Genomic DNA, 18,038 nt, shown 5'->3' with positions numbered 1-18,038 from the left:
TTTATAGATACATTCCACTCAAACCCATCATCTCTCCACTCTAAAGGCAACAGATTACGAATAGCCATGATCATAATACCACATTCTTTTATCTAGAACTAAGGGATTAAATACTTGCTGATATTGGACCCATCGGCTATAACTGGTTGGGAACTATGTCAAAAGCATCTTTCCATGTGAAATAGGAAAAAGTAAATCAAAAACGGTCACTAAATTTTACTTAAAACCTATAAAGAATATAACAGTAAACAAATTGACTGAACAACTTACCATGTGTATAACAATTTGGGCAGAGAGGAAACTGGCAGCTCAGTGATGGTTTAAGAATCCTGGTGAGTTTATTTATTTTGCCCCTTTCAAAATCAGACATCTGGCTATCCCAGTGGATTGTCATTCTAATCAGAAATCATCATGGATTGGCATATTTCCATGGAATCAATTCTTGCTTCTCACCAATGATTACTTTTATCCAGACTTCTCAAGGAAACCACAAATGCAGACTACCTTTGACTATGTGGTTGAAAATCATGTTAGGGTAGGGGGCACCCTGAATACATATTGGAGTTGCATAGCAATGTACTATAATAAATCTGAAATCTGAAAAAAATATGATTTTTCTGCTATGGAGGAAACAATTTGTCAGCAGCCACCCAATTTTGCCTTGCTTACCATGTGGCAATTCTTAGTTTCACCATTTCTTAGTTTTAGCCAGATGAGAAACTTTGGAGTCTTGGATTTCAAAAGCAAAATTGAAATATGATTTAGTGAGACAAAAGAAAAAACTGTTTGGATATCCTCTTGGGAAAGATATCTGTATGAGGAGCAGAAATAAACTTTCTAAAGGAGAGTCAACACTCAATTTGCAAATGCATTATCATTCAAATCTTTCAGCCAAATCATTTTTAATGAAGTCATTGTATAACTTTCTGGGAATAACTATAGAATATTCCAAAATGTCTTGTGGGGAAAGGATACCCAGAGAATTACTGTTATAAAGTCCTTTATGTCTATGATTTAATCTGGAGCTTCCACTTCTAACAAAAATAATTATATCACATATAACATTGAGATTTAAACATAGAAGAAAAACAGCATAATGTTTCTAGAATGAATGTTTCTGTTTTGTAGCTTTTCACAGATAAAAGCCAGGATTATTTCTGAAAAAATTATATTCCCGATTTCACATCCACTTTAAGGGAATAGTGAATCGTCCTATAGCCTCAAAGCTTTCTTTCTCACTTTGTTCTCTGCTGACCCAGATTCAAAGGATCACCTTGTACAGGAGTCACAATCTAGAGTGGGCATTCTTTGCCATATATTTATTATCTTATTTAAATGGATAAATTTTTGAATTATATTTGAGATTTGTCTCCAGCCAGAAATCCATTAATTAAATGTTTGTTCTGACATCTTACATTCATTTGGGTTGTTTCAGTATAATAGAAACTATTCCCAATTTTTCCTGGTGGCCTTAAACAGCTTCAGAAATGGTTTCTATTATATTGAAATGACCCAAATTTGTCTCAGAAACATAGTGCCAAATGCTGTATTGGTCCTAAAATTGGCTTAGTCTTTTAAAGATTATCAGAATAGGAATCACATTTCTGTTGGATTGTAACAGCATATTTTTCAAACTACCCATGAATATGTCCAATTAATTTCCATTTTCAGCAACTTTGAAAAACATAATTTGACTAGCTACTCTGAAATTAAGTGGCAAGTGTAGTCTTATTACATGACAATATTGAACAAGCACAACTTGTTGTGAACTGTAAAAGTTTTCCTGTGTAGTTTGTTTGTAAGATCCCCAAGATCAAATGTATTAGATACTTGCAAACACTCTGAATGGATTGAATGAGCAGACATATGGGCAATGCTGTCTTCCAGCTTTCCCAAATCCATCACTCACACAAATGGGCTAGCAGCCAAGACTTCCTCTCTCCCCTTAGGATGTATGAGTGCAAGTCTATGTTGTAATTTTGTCGAGACTTTCTGCAATTAAGTATTGATTTTTAATCTATTACATTTAATTATTATTGCAATATTTTGTGTGTGATTCTTGCTCTCACAGTTAGTAAGACAAAATGCTTTATAAGACTTTTTTAAAAAGTTTGGAATTGCCTTTATATCTTCCTGTTGAATTTAATGATTAAAAATTGGAGGAAGAATAACCCAGACAGAGGAAACAGGTCATACAAATATATGGTGTGTGGCTATTCAGAAAAAGGTAGGAAGATCAGCATGGCTAGAATTTAGGATACATTATCAAAGCAAAGGAAGTAACTGAATTTGCATACTGGGCCCCTATTGGCTAGAACTTTGTCATCTATATGTTTAAAAATGAATTTATTGGCTGGGCGTGGTGGCTCACGCCTGTAATCCCAGCACTTTGGGAGGCCGAGGCGGGCGGATCACGAAGTCAGGAGATCGAGACCATCCTTTCTAACACGGTGAAACCCCGTCTCTACTAAAACTACAAAAAATTAGCCGGGCTTGGTGGCGGGTGCCTGTAGTCCCAGCTACTCTGGAGGCTGAAGCAGGAGAATGGCGTGAACCTGGGAGGCGGAGCTTGCAGTGAGCCGAGATCGCGCCACTGCACTCCAGCCTGGGCGACAGAGCGAGACTCCGTCTCAAAAAAAAAAAAAAAAAAAAAAAAAAAAAAAGAATTTATTATGTTTGGTTTTGTGGGTGATGATTCTGCCTAATGTAAACAAGTTAGTAAACCTTATTTGAAAACTCAACAATGGTGAAGGAAAGAGATGATTATAGTTTGAATAAGACAGGTCTACTAGGATAAGAGAGAAGAAGCTGTATTTGAGGGACCTTCTCACGTGACACATTCAGATAAAATAACTGATTAAGCATGGGCACTGAAGAAAAGTCTGGAATCTGAAGACACGCCATTAAAAAGGGGAAGAACATAGAAGGAAAATCAAAGGAGAAGATACATTCAGCAAGTTCCATGTTAGGAATGTTGAAGAGAGAGCATGATATACAACTGGAAATTTCTAGTAGGCACTTACTGAGAGAGTTTTAGGGCTCATACTGATTAGAGGTTTATAAATAGTTGGGAATGGAGGAGTTCATCAGCATAGAGATGGCAATTGTGGTGATGGAGGTTGTTGAGATAATCCAGGGACACACATACACATATGCACACATGTATATATGTGTTTAGGTATGTGTGTATGTAAATCTGACAACAGATTTCCAAACCAACTGGTTGATGAAAAAATTAAGCGACTAATATGCTTATAAAATGCTAAATAAATTTTATGACATTTCCCCCCAGAAATGATTGCTTTTGCTATTCATAATGATAGCTCAAATAGAACCCTGAAAGTCTGAATTAATAGATTTTTAAAATAGAACTCTATTTTCTTTCCCTGTAGCATCAATTGCAATAATTACAGACTCTTTACCTACTTATACAATTTTATTATTGTAAATAATTCATTCATAGTTATTGGGAACATTGTGATACTAACGTGAGACTGCTAGTTCCTACCCATTTTTTTTCTAATCTTATTATTTTCAGTCTGACCAGATGTTGTAGGGAATAAAATATTCAGTTCTTTCGAAACTTCTCCCAATATTTTCTATCTACTTCTCCAGCTGTTAAAAGTAACTTAACTCTCATGGGTAAGAAATTTACCTATATTCACACAATTATGTGGAATGAATAACCCACAGCCTAGAGAAAAATAAATACCAGAATATATGCCCAGAAGTTTTATTTAGTGAGTATATTCTGCTCAAATCAACCAGATGATATTTTAATGACTGAATTATTTTCAAAATGCATTTATGACTATATCTCTTGAGTTTCTTACAAGAAAGAATATTGATAAACGCTAAAATAATTACTAACTATGCAAAGCATTATTTTAGTAGATCTATTTTTATATCTTGTTTTATGAGATTTTTGGAATACAATAGAGAGAAATGTATTAATATCACAGGCTGTGAATTTACCTTTGTATAAACAATCAGTAAACTGTTTCAAAGAATGTCTAAATCATCATTTACTTCATCCATAAACATTACTGGGTTAAAATTCTGTATGTTGTTTGACCTAGTGGAATGGGGCTAAGAACACATTTTTACTCTAGCTTCATTTATTAAAGGTAATTATTGCCCTACCATGTGAAATATTGAAATGGCAAGTTTTGAATTTTAATGAAAACTGAAATAAGTTTAACATATTAAACATATTTAAGCATTTGAAAATAAATATTTTTAGTCAATAGGTGACTTTCTTTTAATGTGACTTATTCAGCTATCTCATAGAATTTTGATTTATGCTTTGTGTTGTATGTAGCTTTTACAAATAATACTTTGCCTCCTTAGGGATTTCAAGGCAAGACCGGCCCTCCTGGGCCAGGGGGAGTGGTTGGACCACAGGTATGTTCCTTTGCTTTATTTCCCAAGCAAGATTTATTTTTTGTTTACATTTTAACCTTCCTAAGTTGTGTAAAATCTTCTAAATTTATTATGATTCAAAATGATGTATTTTTTATTTCAGATTGCATTTAAATATATGCAGCTTTCGTACATCAAATGAAACCAACAAACTATTACCTAACTAAAGCAACTTTTCAATTGCCTGTAAGAATAAAAGAGAAGAATAAAATAAATGAAAGTAAATCAGAAAGTTCACACTGAATTTAACACTAAAGCCTGACTATGACACCATCTACTAATAAAAATACAAAGTTCTTTGTAAATAGGTGGGCCATTATCTTTTTCTAGAATTTTAAATTATAAAATGACTTCATGGTTTTGAGTATAAATTAGATTTAGAAATATACATTCTAAAATTTTAATATTTGTAACATATTAGGTGTTTCTTAAGATTTTTGCCTTCATAATAATGAATATCAGAAATAAAATATTAATTATCTTTGAGGATATACAAAATAGTGGAAAAGACAAGTATTTATTTCAAGATAGGTGGCAGAAGAAGTCTCAAAAATTGGTGCAGTATCCTGAGTTATAGTATAAAATAACTACAAAGAGTAATTCATGGTAATAGAAAATAATGTTTTTCTTCCCTGGCAAAGCATATTGAATGGGCAGAACACATTTAGTTTCTGGACTGGAATTTAGCCCCTGCTAATACCAAATTATAACAAAGGAGCAAAAGCAGGTGAATACGTATTTTAATTATTTAATTGGTTTAGTCTTTTCTCTGTCTCTAAATAGTTCTCAACACTGTAACTCACACACATACACACACACATGCGCACACGGACACACACATGCACATCCAAACACATACACACACACACACACACACACACCCCTAGAGAAACAACAAAACTGCATCTTGTTTTTAGGAATATGTATAACAGAAGCAAAAATGAAGAATCATTGGATTTATTGATTATTTTATTTCAGAGGTTAACCCTGAGGCAAGGGAAATACGATGTTATTTTATAGAGTGTGTAAACATGACTACTTACTTGTGCTGAAGGCTTCTTTTTAACTGCTTATCAGTTTTAGTTAAAACATTATATATACTTTCTCAGTAATTAGAAAGCTTCCTCCAAAAATACTTTCATTTTTCCTGTTTAAAACAACTTTATAACTATTTTCTGTGAGAAAATTTAACTAGAAAAATTATTCCTATTATACTTAATATCCATAAACAGAAATGGAATTAGACTCTTAACTAAAATATAAACATCATGGAATGTAACTAAATATTTTAGGACCTCACATCTTTCAAAAATACAATTCTGTTCAATGTGGTCATCTAAAACTTCTGAGACTTGTGTTCTTTTTTCGTTCCCCTCTTTACATGAAGGCATAAAAATACTGGTGTTTTACTGAAGATGCACCTTCCTTGAATTACATTTTTTATTGGTCCTTTTTAAGAGAAAAAAAACCAACAGCCTATTTTAAATGTAGCCATACTTTCATGTGAAGACAAAAGATTTGGTTTAATGGGAATAATATAGATTGCAATACTGAATATGCACCCTTTTCTTTAAACAGTTATGTGAATCTCTGATCATTTTTGTCTCGGTGATCGCTGTTCAATTATGGTTAATTCTGTATTCCTTACTGTTCAAATTCTGGTGTTCAGATAGTTAAGAAAACATCATGTTTTGGATAAATGTTTACACATTAATGTTAAGTTGAGAAATTACAGCAATTGTATAATTAAAGAAATTTAAACCTAGAAATGTATACCCAAATTGGGACAGGTGTATACCTTATCCAAGATAAATAGTTAAGACTATGTTGCATTTTTAGGAAAAAAATATTTATACTTCATAAGCAAGTGCAGGAACACATTCTCCTGTTTAACAACCTTAGCATCTAAAAATTTTCTCTTTGTTTAACTTAAACCCTTCATTTTGCTTTTTATTAAGATAGAGAGCAACTGATCACCATCCTCTATTTATACATGAAAGCCTGCTATACTCAAGCACCACAAAACAGCACCACTCAGGGGACACGTAAATGACCTGATATTGTTCACTTTGGCATTTGCTGCAATTTAAGGCAGCTGACCATTTGTTACAGCCTTTGGCCGAGAGGAACTGCTGACCCATACTCACTGCCTTCAGGATCCCATGCCACATTCCCTAGACTTTGTCAAATGAATATAGATTAATAGTAGAGAAATTTTCAGTCCATGGAAATTCCAGGGAGAACCACTGGCTTTTTGGGTTCTCATGGCCCTAAGTTTATTTTCAAGCAGTGATTCATTGAGTGGCTACCAATGTGGTTTCTATGCCTCTTTACTACTAAGCTGATTTGACACCTCATATGAAAAGAAGGAATGGGATAAAACTGTAATTAAAAATCATAGTTTTCATAATACTTGGACTGGCCACACTCTGCAGAAATTATTGTATTAAGCAAAGAAAACATCTTTTTGGACTTTATTTATGTACTTTCCTTTTACACTCAGATTCTAACCAAGATTATATAAAATCTTTTTAGACTCTTACTTGATATGCTACTTTCAGTGCTTTATGTGAAGTGTTTTGTAGGACATCATGAGAATAAGTGAGGATGATAAACTTTTGTAAATGTAATAATACTGTTTTTGAGTTTGTGTTATCTTTGCCAAAAATAAAAGAGCAATCTAAAGTGATTTTGCTTATCTAATTTAGGGACCAACCGGTGAGACTGGTCCAATAGGGGAACGTGGGCATCCTGGCCCTCCTGGCCCTCCTGGTGAGCAAGGTCTTCCTGGTGCTGCAGGAAAAGAAGGTGCAAAGGTACAACATGCTTCAGAAAACTTTTTTTGGCCCAAAACTTTAATTTATGTTTAACTATACTCACCCCTTGTCTACAGATTCCATTTAAATGAATGTCAGAAGATGTGTCAGGAAAATATTTAATGTGCGTTTATTGTACTCCAAGATATTGCTCAACATTTATATAAGACCGTTAGCTCCGTTGACCATAAAATCTTTAATATATATGTAACGTTAAATGTAGGTAGTGGGTAGTTCATTTTAATGCATATGGCATTCCACCCAATATTCTCATCATTAAATAATATTCACATTTTACTTACAGTAGTTTAGAGGTAATCACAATTTTGTTTGTAGAAAGATGTGTAGAAATTAATCTGTCTTGACGATGTTTATTATATTCTTTAGGGTGATCCAGGTCCTCAAGGTATCTCAGGGAAAGATGGACCAGCAGGATTACGTGGTTTCCCAGGGGAAAGAGGTCTTCCTGGAGCTCAGGTATAATCAATATCTATATAGATAAAGCAAGTGATTCCAATTGTTTATTAGAAGCATTTTTTCTCAGAACTTAAGAAGTGATGATTAAGGGAAGATATATAAACATATATATTTGATTATCATTACATATATGTGTATATATGTAGTTATGTCTATAAACATTACCTGACATCCTTATTTTACTAATCAGATATCTCCTCCTATTGGTATTCAATTCATATGGATTCATTTTCTTTATTTTTTTCACTTTTCCCAGGGTGCACCTGGACTGAAAGGAGGGGAAGGTCCCCAGGGCCCACCAGGTCCAGTTGTAAGTATGATGATAATAAATAGCCAGACAATCATGGTTGTGAATTACAGCTCTTCTTTCATTACTCTCATGCTGTGATTCCACAGTGTGTGGGAGAGAAAATAAACACATGTCAATCAAATCAGTCAATGCCTAGTTCCCACTAATTGCATGCACTAATGAATGCAGAAACAGAAGGGTTTGGATGATTGGAAATATTTGCTTCTGCTGCTGTCAGGAGGTAAAAGGAGATATCTTGCTTCTTACGGTTCCCAAGGAAATAAATCCTCATTATGAGTAATAGAAGCTCATAGTCACGGAATGCCTGGAGAGGCTGTAGTTTGAAATTTTTACTTCATTTACATCTATTATTTTAGAAGTACTTATAAAATAAGATTTGATTTCTTATAAATTATATTCTATCATTCATTTATTATAAAACATATTTAATTTGTTTATAAGTACTTGATGAGACTTGAATTTGTCAATGATACAAAAAACATAAGCATAAAAGCATAAAACCCATAAGCACAATCTTATATATTATGCATATTGCTTTATTTAATCAAAACATTATGAAATAATTGGCAAATTAGTAAATATCAGATTTTTACCTCATTTTTTTCTTGAGATACATATCAATCCCTCAGAAAACAATTGAATGTATGCTTCATTTTTTAATAAATTCACCTTTATTCTTATCTGCACACTGAAATTTCACTATAACAGCCAAACTGCCATATTTAGTGTCTTCTTCTCATTTTCTTATTTCACCAATCTAAAAAGCTGAAAGTTGCCTTAAAGGCCCTCTCAACTTCCTTTCACACAATATTCATTAGTTTTGCTTCCAAAATATTTTACTAATTTTTCCGCTTTCTTCATTTCTACCACCACCATTTTGTTCAGACTCTTTCCTCTTCCTTTCTCTTTGACTAATAACATCTTATCTTTTGATTCATTTTCTTATCCCCTTCAGTCAGTTTCACCTATAGAATACTAGTTTAACATACATCCTTAACTATGGCATTCCTCTATCATACCCATCCTATAGTTCCACACTGCCTTTGGAAACCAAGCTCCTTATCCTAGCCAGCAAGTCATCTTCATAGTTCAACCCCAATTGCTATAGTCCTTTTTTTTTCCCTTCATGCCTCCCTTTTAATTCTACCCAACTTAATGCATTGAATGTTGTCTTGCTTCTCAAAACCATGACCTTTTCTATTTTGAGAAGAGTATACTGTACACCTTTCCCCTTTCTCCAGGAAACTCCAGTTTTTCTTTCTCTACTTGACAAAGATCCTACCCAACCATAAAGATAACTCTTAAATGTTAAATCTCTATAAAGTCATCTTTGGATAATTTGCCTCCATTTCATGTATTTGTAAAAATTCCCCCCCCCACACACACACCCAGTGACCTTTATTATATCTCCATTTTTAGAAATTACATTGGAATATAGTTGGCTGTCTCTCGCATTAGGCTGTGAGTTACCAGTATTATTTTGGTTACTCAAAATACGGTGCCTGAAGCACAGTAATCATCTCACACTTACCCATTTGAATTATTATGAATACCTAATATTGGAATAAATTTTATATAGCATTACTTAATACTGGGAATACAACAAGTGTATCATTTTTCAGATTGATTCACATGATACTTACTCTTTACTTCACTCACATCATATAACAACCATTGACATAATTATGGAAATGTGGCAAAGATATTTTTTAAAGAAAATATATTTTGATAACTGTATTAGACTTACACTGGAGTTCATAAAATTATGAACATTTTCTAATGTCCTCAAAAGTTAGTGACAGTAGCATTAGCAGCAACAACAACTTAATAAGACAAAAGTTCTTATTTAGATATAGAATCTTCTAAAATTTCAGTAAAATGCAATCCATTTAACCAGACCTTCAGATTCTAAAGATATCTTCTAGGAATAAATGATGTTTTAAGAAAAATGCACACTGAACTAATCATCTGAGCTGTGACTATAAGGATTAAATTGTTTTAAGTTATTTTTTAGGAACCAAGCACTGAAGCTCTCTCAAGGGTTGGGAACAGTTGAAACCAGTGTATTTGTAGGCTGCATACTATGTCCAGGGGATACAATTTTCAAAATGTTAATTGAAATATGTATAGTTACATGTAGAATAACATTAAATGTACTTTTATTTATTTGGCTTCAACTGTGTATTTGAGAATTATTACTTACTTTGTTATATGCAACTGAACATCACAGTAGATATTCTTTGAGATAAAATAGGATAAACAATTTTGAAAAGAAATACACCAAAGACTAAATAGCACTGTAAGTTGGTTGGTGATTAAATGCCTAATGACATACAAACAATAAATGTTAATTCTATGAGGGAGGTAGAAAGAGAATATAAATAAGGGGAAGGGCCATGTGGAAAAGGTGACCCTCGAACTTGGCTTCACAGAGTGCAGATTACAAAATCGTTGAAGAGCGAGAAAATACTAGGAAAGAGATGTGATGTTTAATTAGTATCTGTTTTTGCCCAAGTGGGACAAAATTTGGGAGATGGACTAACATTTGTTGAATTCTTGCTAGCATCTAAGCACTCTGCTATTTTACATAATAAAAAACTAAATCACTAATACAACATATAATTACTGAAGCTCTGAAATTGCAAGATGTAGTCATTTGAATATTTGAAATGTACAGAACAAGTGGAGTAAACAAATTGAAGTTTTAAGAAAACAAATCTGTCATTAATGTTTAATATCTAACAGAGATAGGAGAGAATAGATCACAAAAGTCCAGTGACCAATGTCAACATTGGAGTGAGCCGATGACTTGGGCAACGTGGAATCCAAGGACATTGCAGATGTAGCAAACACGGAGGGGGCGAGGTAGTAGGATTTATGACTAAGATTTGATGTGGGCAGTGAGGACAAATGAAAACTGAACAATGACCTCAAGCTTATGTCCTTGAGAGAATGACAGTTTGGTGACGCCTTCCATGCCTAGAGCAATTTTACCTCATCAAGAGCAAGAACAAACAAAAACCAGAAATATTCACACACAAAAACTTTTAAAACCTCTTGGCAGTCACAAAAAATTACAAAGGATTTTATACTTTGCTAATAGATATGCTTGATAGATGCTCACTGTGTTTATTTGAAATTAATAACCATTCTTATATTTGCAAATCAAATATGCAAACATCAACCAATTAAAATTATTCCTTAAAGTTGTTGGAAAAGGATTCACTAAAAGGAAGACACCATACACATTTATTAGTTCCTAACACTATTGTTTTAATTGCTGCAGAATCTAGTGAAGCGGTGCATGATGATGACTCAGTTCATAACAAGTGCTGAGCGAGCCTTAGTTTACTCCATTTAAAGTGATTACATCACATAAAATTTGATTTTGAATTTTTTAATTCCAAATGACAGATAAAACAAAAACTGGATGGTTTTCTAGATGTGAAGTATAATTTATCTAGAAAATTAATAATGTCAATTCTTATTTTTTGAGGTTCAAAACTTACTATGAGTTTCCCTTGCAATTAATATTGAAAAAAAAAAGAATCAGGAGTAGGGATTTCTTTAAAAGGTAACAAGTTCTGCTTTGCAATGTTAATAGAAAAGGTGATGGCAAAATATTAAAGGGGAAGTATTTGATCAGTTGGTGAGAAATGATAAAATTCTGAGTCATAAGGAATAAAGGCATAAGAACATCTTCTAAAAATTCATTTTATAATGTATATGTCTGAGTTTATATCAATCTTATGTTAACTTTACCTTTAGAATATTGACCAAATAATTGTAAGTGCAAGACAGGAATTCACAGAAACAGAGTGATGAGTATTCAGTGGTTATTTGTATTAAGGAAAAAGCAAAGCAAAGTGATGAGTTCTGAGGAAGAGAATGTGAAGTCTAAAGGAAATAGAAAAGGGAAATGAAGTAATATTGAGTGTTTATTCTTTCAACTCTTATGCTAGGTATTTTATATCTGTTATTCTTATTCTTGCAACTTGGAATGGTAGATTTTTTTTTTCTATTTTACCATTCCATATTTAAAGACAAAAGATCTGAGGCTTGAAGAAGTATAGAGCTTGCCCAAATTATCTGGGCAAATATCCATGATAGCACTTTACATAAACTCATTTTCAAGTCATCTTGACCCTTCTAAATCTCTGTGAACAATTTTGTCAAAAGAGAGTGAGAAGAGTTAGTATTTCAACTACCTAGGCTTTAATATTACTACATATTCTCTATAACTATTGCTTATTTTGAATGAATCGAAGATGAAACTGATTAAACTAATATACAGGTTGATTTTTTAATGACAAGATGTTTGTCAGAATGCCATTGAACTCTTAGTTTCTTTCACCTATAATGCAATTCATAAGGAATGTAGTTGTGCTGTGTATTTCTGGATTGCTAGGGAAATAATAAATTCCCTCATTGCACAGGATACTGATGAACTAAAACTAAAAGTCCTAAGCAGAGCTTTAATCAGCTAACCTTATTGCTCACAGTGATATTTGCAAAGTTTGTATGTGTCCCAATTATGTAGCTTATGCACTATATCCTTACTATATGACTCTAATCTGCAAAAAGAACAAATATAATATTTAATTCTAATGTATCCATTCAAGTGTTCTATCTATTCATTTATAAGTATATTTAGCATCTATTCTCTTTATTTATAATCCATTTAGTCTGAAACATAGGTCGTTATTATGACACTCCATAGAAGTGGATTTACTGTACTCAGGTAGGTCTAGGTGTATGTCATTGACTTATATTTAGAGAAACTTTATTTGTAAAACAAATAAACTAAAAAAATCTGTTTGAAGATATGGGATATTGCTTTATACAGGGTCATCTTTATGAATATCCTTGGAAGAAATCTCTTGCTAACCATAGCTTTAAAAATATTTGCAATTTCTTTTTTTCAAGTATGCTTTTTATAGAATATTTAAAATTTTTTTAAATATTAACTGACTTGGTTTTTTTTTTAGTCAGTTTGAATTACAAAACTTAGAATTCTTTTCACTTTGGCTTACAGAAATAATGGAGTCAAAATAGAGACGGTACAGAAGATAATGTTTGATAACTATTGTAAAAACTTTTTGAACACAACTTACTATCAAAAGTACCTATGATATACTTTAATATTTTCTATTATATTTTGTTATAGTTAATATTTTTAAATACTGGGCAAGACCTGTGAAATTTACCTCATAACCTACTCATGGAGCATAACCTACAGTTAGAAAAATCCTTGGTCTTGGTATGCATTTTTAGTTTACTACTACTACTGGCTCCATTTTACTTCAATAAAAAGTTATTTGCTTACCTGTTTTCCTTGCTTACCTATTTTAAAATTTATATTGTCTAATATTTTATGCATACTATTTAAGCTGCTATAAGTCTTTTTCTGTGAAAGTACCATAAAGAAATAAATACCAGAAAATATCAGACAATCTATTAAACTGAAGTTATATTGATTCATAAAATGGACCTTCCTGCAAAGAGCTTATGGTTTACTGAGGAGGACAAAGAGCAGATAAAATAACATAGTAAATAATAAGAATATACTAAAAGAACAGAAAACACAAAGGTGAGAACAATGTTTTTTGCCTAAGGAAATTATGTTTGAATTGAAGCTGTAAATAAAAACCAGTTTTATCTATGAAAAGCAGCCTTTTTGTGTGCTAAATTTAGTCTTGAACTGCTCATCACTTTTTGTCCTCTTAGTAAAGAACTAGTATTTCAAGGTTAGGGTTATCTAAAGGTTTTGGTCCTGGGAGTTATTGTATACTGAGGAACGTTCTGTCGTGCTACCACTTATGACAAAATTATACCAATAGGGTGCTGTGACGTTGGGATTTTAAAGTCTAGGAAAACCAAGTGTTCCCTGTATACGTGATGTTGTATCCAAGAACTGGTAACAGATGCCAATCAAATCCAGGGCATGTCTTCTGATCTCAGGGGATGTAGTCACTAAATGGATGTCTTGATGCACACACAAGGCAGAAAGTAGCAAGAGACTGAACATCAAGAGAGTAAGGCAGTGCAGCATTTTTCTGCATGATGAATATAAACTGAGTAAATGTTTTCTATGTATGTAAACAGATATATGTAAATATATCATGCAACAAATTCTCAGATTTCACCTACTGCATATATTTTTATAAAACAAAATCAAGGAAAATAATATTTAGGGAAAATATATTTTCCCTAAATAATCTCTCCTCCAGATATTCTTTATGGTAGAGAACAATCTCATTAACAACAGTTATTTATCTAAAAATGAGATTAAAACAAATATAGTAGTATGTTTTGTAAAAGCCTTCTATCTTTACAATCACATGTATATTTTATCCCTAGGAGTTGTGGAAGTTAACATGCAGAAAGTATATGAGAGGAGCCAGATAGCTGGTACAGAATATATGTCCAATATTTCAAAATTGTGCGGTATAGCAGTCTTTGCTGTTTTCCTGTGACTCCTATTATGTGACCATCCCCCCATGATTCTGACTTTATTTTCCTCTTTATTTATTATTTCTTCTTCTTCTCTTGCTTCTCTAAGAGTTCACATTCTCTTCCTATCATAATTCCTATTCCTCTTATTTTTTTTTCTTCATCCTATTTCTGAGAACCTTCTTTTCCTTGGCTTTTACTTATTCTTCCAGCAAGGGAATAACCAAGGTTTAAAAGGATGTCATGTACCGACATGCCAAGTCAGACTCTATACATTTTAAGATAAAGTCCATTTTCTCCATTGTGACCCAGGTAGACCTTAGTGGACTATGATTACATCCAACTAGGGATGAGATAAATGTAGCAATAGTGATGGGGACCAGTGATCAAAATCTGAGGTATTTGATTTGACTTTGATCATCAGAGTCTATGCTTTAAATTCTGATAATGCTTGATAGTTCATCTGAATTTTTAGTTCACGTAATCTAAAATGTATGTCATGTAGAGAGTGAAAGTACTTCATAGTTTTGACATGAAGGTCAACTTCTTTTTTTTTTTTTTTTATTTCAAGAGGGAGTTTCGCTCTTGTCGCCCAGTCTGGAATGCAGTGACGCAATCTCGCCTCACTGCAACCTCCGCCTCCTAGGTTCAAGTGATTCTCCTGTCTCAGCCTCCCGAGTAGCTGGGATTGCAGGCACCCACCACCAACCCGGATAATTTTTGTATTTTTCGTAGAAACGGGGTTTCACTATATTGGCCAGGCTGGTCTCGGGCTTCTGACCTCAGGTGATCCACCCGCTTCGGCCTCCCAAAGTGTTGGGATTACAGGCGTGAGCCAAGGTGCCTGGCTGAAGGTCAACTTTTTAAAAAGACAGAGCAGACGTGTTTTTGCCCTCTAGTTGTATAGCTCTGGTTTGTAAGCACTTTATGTGTTTATGCTTCTATTTTTCTCTCTAGTGGGCGGCATCTTAACTGAATGCTGATGAGGTGATTTGTCTATCACTTTCATTTACTTTACAAATGCTCCTCAGAATATGAAACATCCAGTGAAAATAACTGATAAAACATTTATTTTGGTGTTCTCATCTGTGTGAGGGATTAGGGGAATACTTTCTATTCTCATTGCTCCAGGAATATAGACCAATGCTATTGCTTCTTGTTTCATTATCATTGTAAGTTTTAGATGAAGGTGCAGCAGGATTTAGGGGAAGGGCTGCAGAAGGGGATAAAGCTAATACACAAGTAAAGAAAGGTAACTAAGTAGAGAAAGGTAAATTCTTCCCTTTTAAAAGCATGTAAATGTTCACTTTTCAGTTCAAAACAAGAGAAAAATGGCATGTTTTCCATAGTTGTTAATATTTAGTACCGAAATAACAGAACACTTATGATATTATGGTCATTGTAATTCATGAAATTAAACAGATATTATTGCCTTTGGGAAACATGTTTTTATTGTCATTTAAATCACATATTAAGAAAATAATATTGCTATAATTTTTAGTCCCTCCTTTGAGTTCTTTCTAGCTAAGCACTTTCAATGTGTAAAATATCTATCCTTCTTACAGAGAGACAAGTATACAAATAGTTAAAAGTTAGGATTAACAATGCCATATTAATGGTGGAAAAAGCCCTACCCTTCTTTTAACAGGGTATTTTATACCTGTTGTTTTGATATTCATTTATTAATGTATTAAATATGCCATATAATTTTCTGGATCTTAGTTTACTTTTCTGTAAAATTTTACTTCTACAATTATTTGAGATTTTATATCTATTTTTGGAATATATAACTGTTCACTTACAGTCCTCTAACATCTATTACATTTATACTTTTTGACAGGCATTGTTCAAAGAACTTTAGTTATATTAAATATGACTAAAACCTGATGACAAACTATTTCTGTCTCTATTATGACAGGCATTGTTGAAATAACTTTAGATGTATCATAGTAAACATGACAAAAACCTGATGACAAACTATTTCTCTCCATCTATGGCAACAAAAGTGGCCCATAGAGAGTTTGCTCCAGATCAGAAAGCTAGTGGTTCCAGTGCTAGAGAGGGAAAGATCATACACTTAATTGACACACTTATTTATGGCATACTATGTGCCAGTAACTACTCAAACTGCTGGAGATCATTGAAAAAAGAAAAAAAAAGAAAAATCAAAAACCTCTACCTTTGTGAAGTTGATCATTATCTATTTTACCTATGCTTAAAGACAATCATTCAGTTTAGATATAATAGTTTATTTATCTGACAATTATAAAGTCCCTTGTTCTTTAGCCAGCTATACAGCAATACAAAAATGTCTCACTATATATGCCTACTCTTTATGCAAACAAAAAAAGTATATACACAATGTGAGTTTCTCAAGGGCTGCTTCCTGCCATAATACATTTCATATTCACAATCAAGTGTCCCAAGAGAATAGATTCTCATTAGTGTTGAACATGGAGTTTTTAGTTGAATGTCTAAATGGTACCTTCTTTTCATATTGGGCTTAAATTTTTGCTTAAAAAATATAACTTCTCCAGTGATTCTGTTGAGATTAAAGGATTCATAGGCTTATTCTTTTAAAGTTGGCATGAGAATATTTAAATAAGATTTGCAAGTTTGCTATGTCATTTGCTTAATGGGTAGGTACCATCAGAGATTTTCACTTTTCATTTATAGATATATAAAATAAAATTATAGCAGAGCATGCTGTTATTACAAACATCTAGGCTTTGAGAGTGTTTGAAGTAACTAATAGAAAAAGAAATTGCAGTTGTACTTTAGGGCATGGATATACATTCCAAAAGTCTTCTCTTGTTTTCATCTGTTGTTTCAAAGTTTATGAGCTGTGACAAGATCATGAGCAATATTTTAACTACAGAAAAGTAATATATTCTCTACACTAATTTTAATGCAGCTTCCACAAGCAAGATGACAATCTGAAATTTAATCTTATGAATGCTCCAAGGGAGAAATTAAAACAGTTAAGCTTTTAAATAAAAAATAGTATACAGTATCTGGCTGGGCACGGTGGCTCACACCTGTAATTCCAGCACTTTGGGAGGCCAAGACAGGTGGATCACGAGGTCAAGAGATCGAGACCATCCTGGCCAACATGGTGAAACCCTGTCTCTACTAAAAATACAAAAATTACCTGGACGTGGTGGCGGGTGCCTGTAGTCTCTGCTACTCAGAAGGCTAAGGCAGGAGAATCGTTTGAACCTGGGAGGTGGAGGTTGCAGTGAGCCAAGATCGCACCACTGCACTTCAGCCTGGTGACAGAGCAAGACTCCATCTCAAAAAAAAATAGTATACAGTATCTACAAACTACACACATTGCCATAGAGTCAAATCAGCATTCTGTCTCTTCTTGATATATGTTAAAATAATTATTAAAATATTTCAATTAATTTTAAATAATAAACATACTTCGGTATAAATTTAATAAGCATTATTTTCATAAGTAAAAGCCATGGCTTACTTTCATATAACATGTCAATCATAATGCATCCAGTTAAGGTAATATTTATTTTCTTTCATTTTGAAACCATTTCTTACAGGGA

At 33.0% G+C, this 18,038-nt stretch overlaps 1 protein-coding gene across 10 annotated transcripts in view; it reads left to right on the top strand.

Annotated features, from left to right (window-relative positions):
- The window catches only part of COL11A1 (collagen type XI alpha 1 chain), a 232,050-nt gene that overhangs the window by 138,632 nt on the left and 75,380 nt on the right, over positions 1 to 18,038 (top strand). For 9 of the 10 annotated variants that reach the window (NR_134980.2, NM_001190709.2, NM_080629.3 and 6 more), the window contains 4 exons: positions 4,351 to 4,404; positions 7,131 to 7,238; positions 7,626 to 7,715; positions 7,972 to 8,025. Coding sequence is in view for 8 of the 10 variants with exons in the window: in NM_001190709.2 (NP_001177638.1) it covers positions 4,351 to 4,404; positions 7,131 to 7,238; positions 7,626 to 7,715; positions 7,972 to 8,025 (306 nt within the window). In the remaining 2 variants the exon portion in view is untranslated. Of the gene's footprint in view, positions 1 to 4,350; positions 4,405 to 4,525; positions 4,731 to 5,063; positions 6,178 to 7,130; positions 7,239 to 7,625; positions 7,716 to 7,971; positions 8,026 to 18,038 lie in introns of those variants that run through there. The other variant, XR_007085257.1, reaches the window with a different exon arrangement.

This window comes from Homo sapiens, chromosome 1, assembly GCF_000001405.40.
Source record: "Homo sapiens chromosome 1, GRCh38.p14 Primary Assembly".
Lineage (NCBI taxonomy): Eukaryota > Metazoa > Chordata > Mammalia > Primates > Hominidae > Homo > Homo sapiens.
Note: the sequence above shows the minus strand (reverse complement) of the source record. Positions and strands in the feature narration are given on the sequence as shown.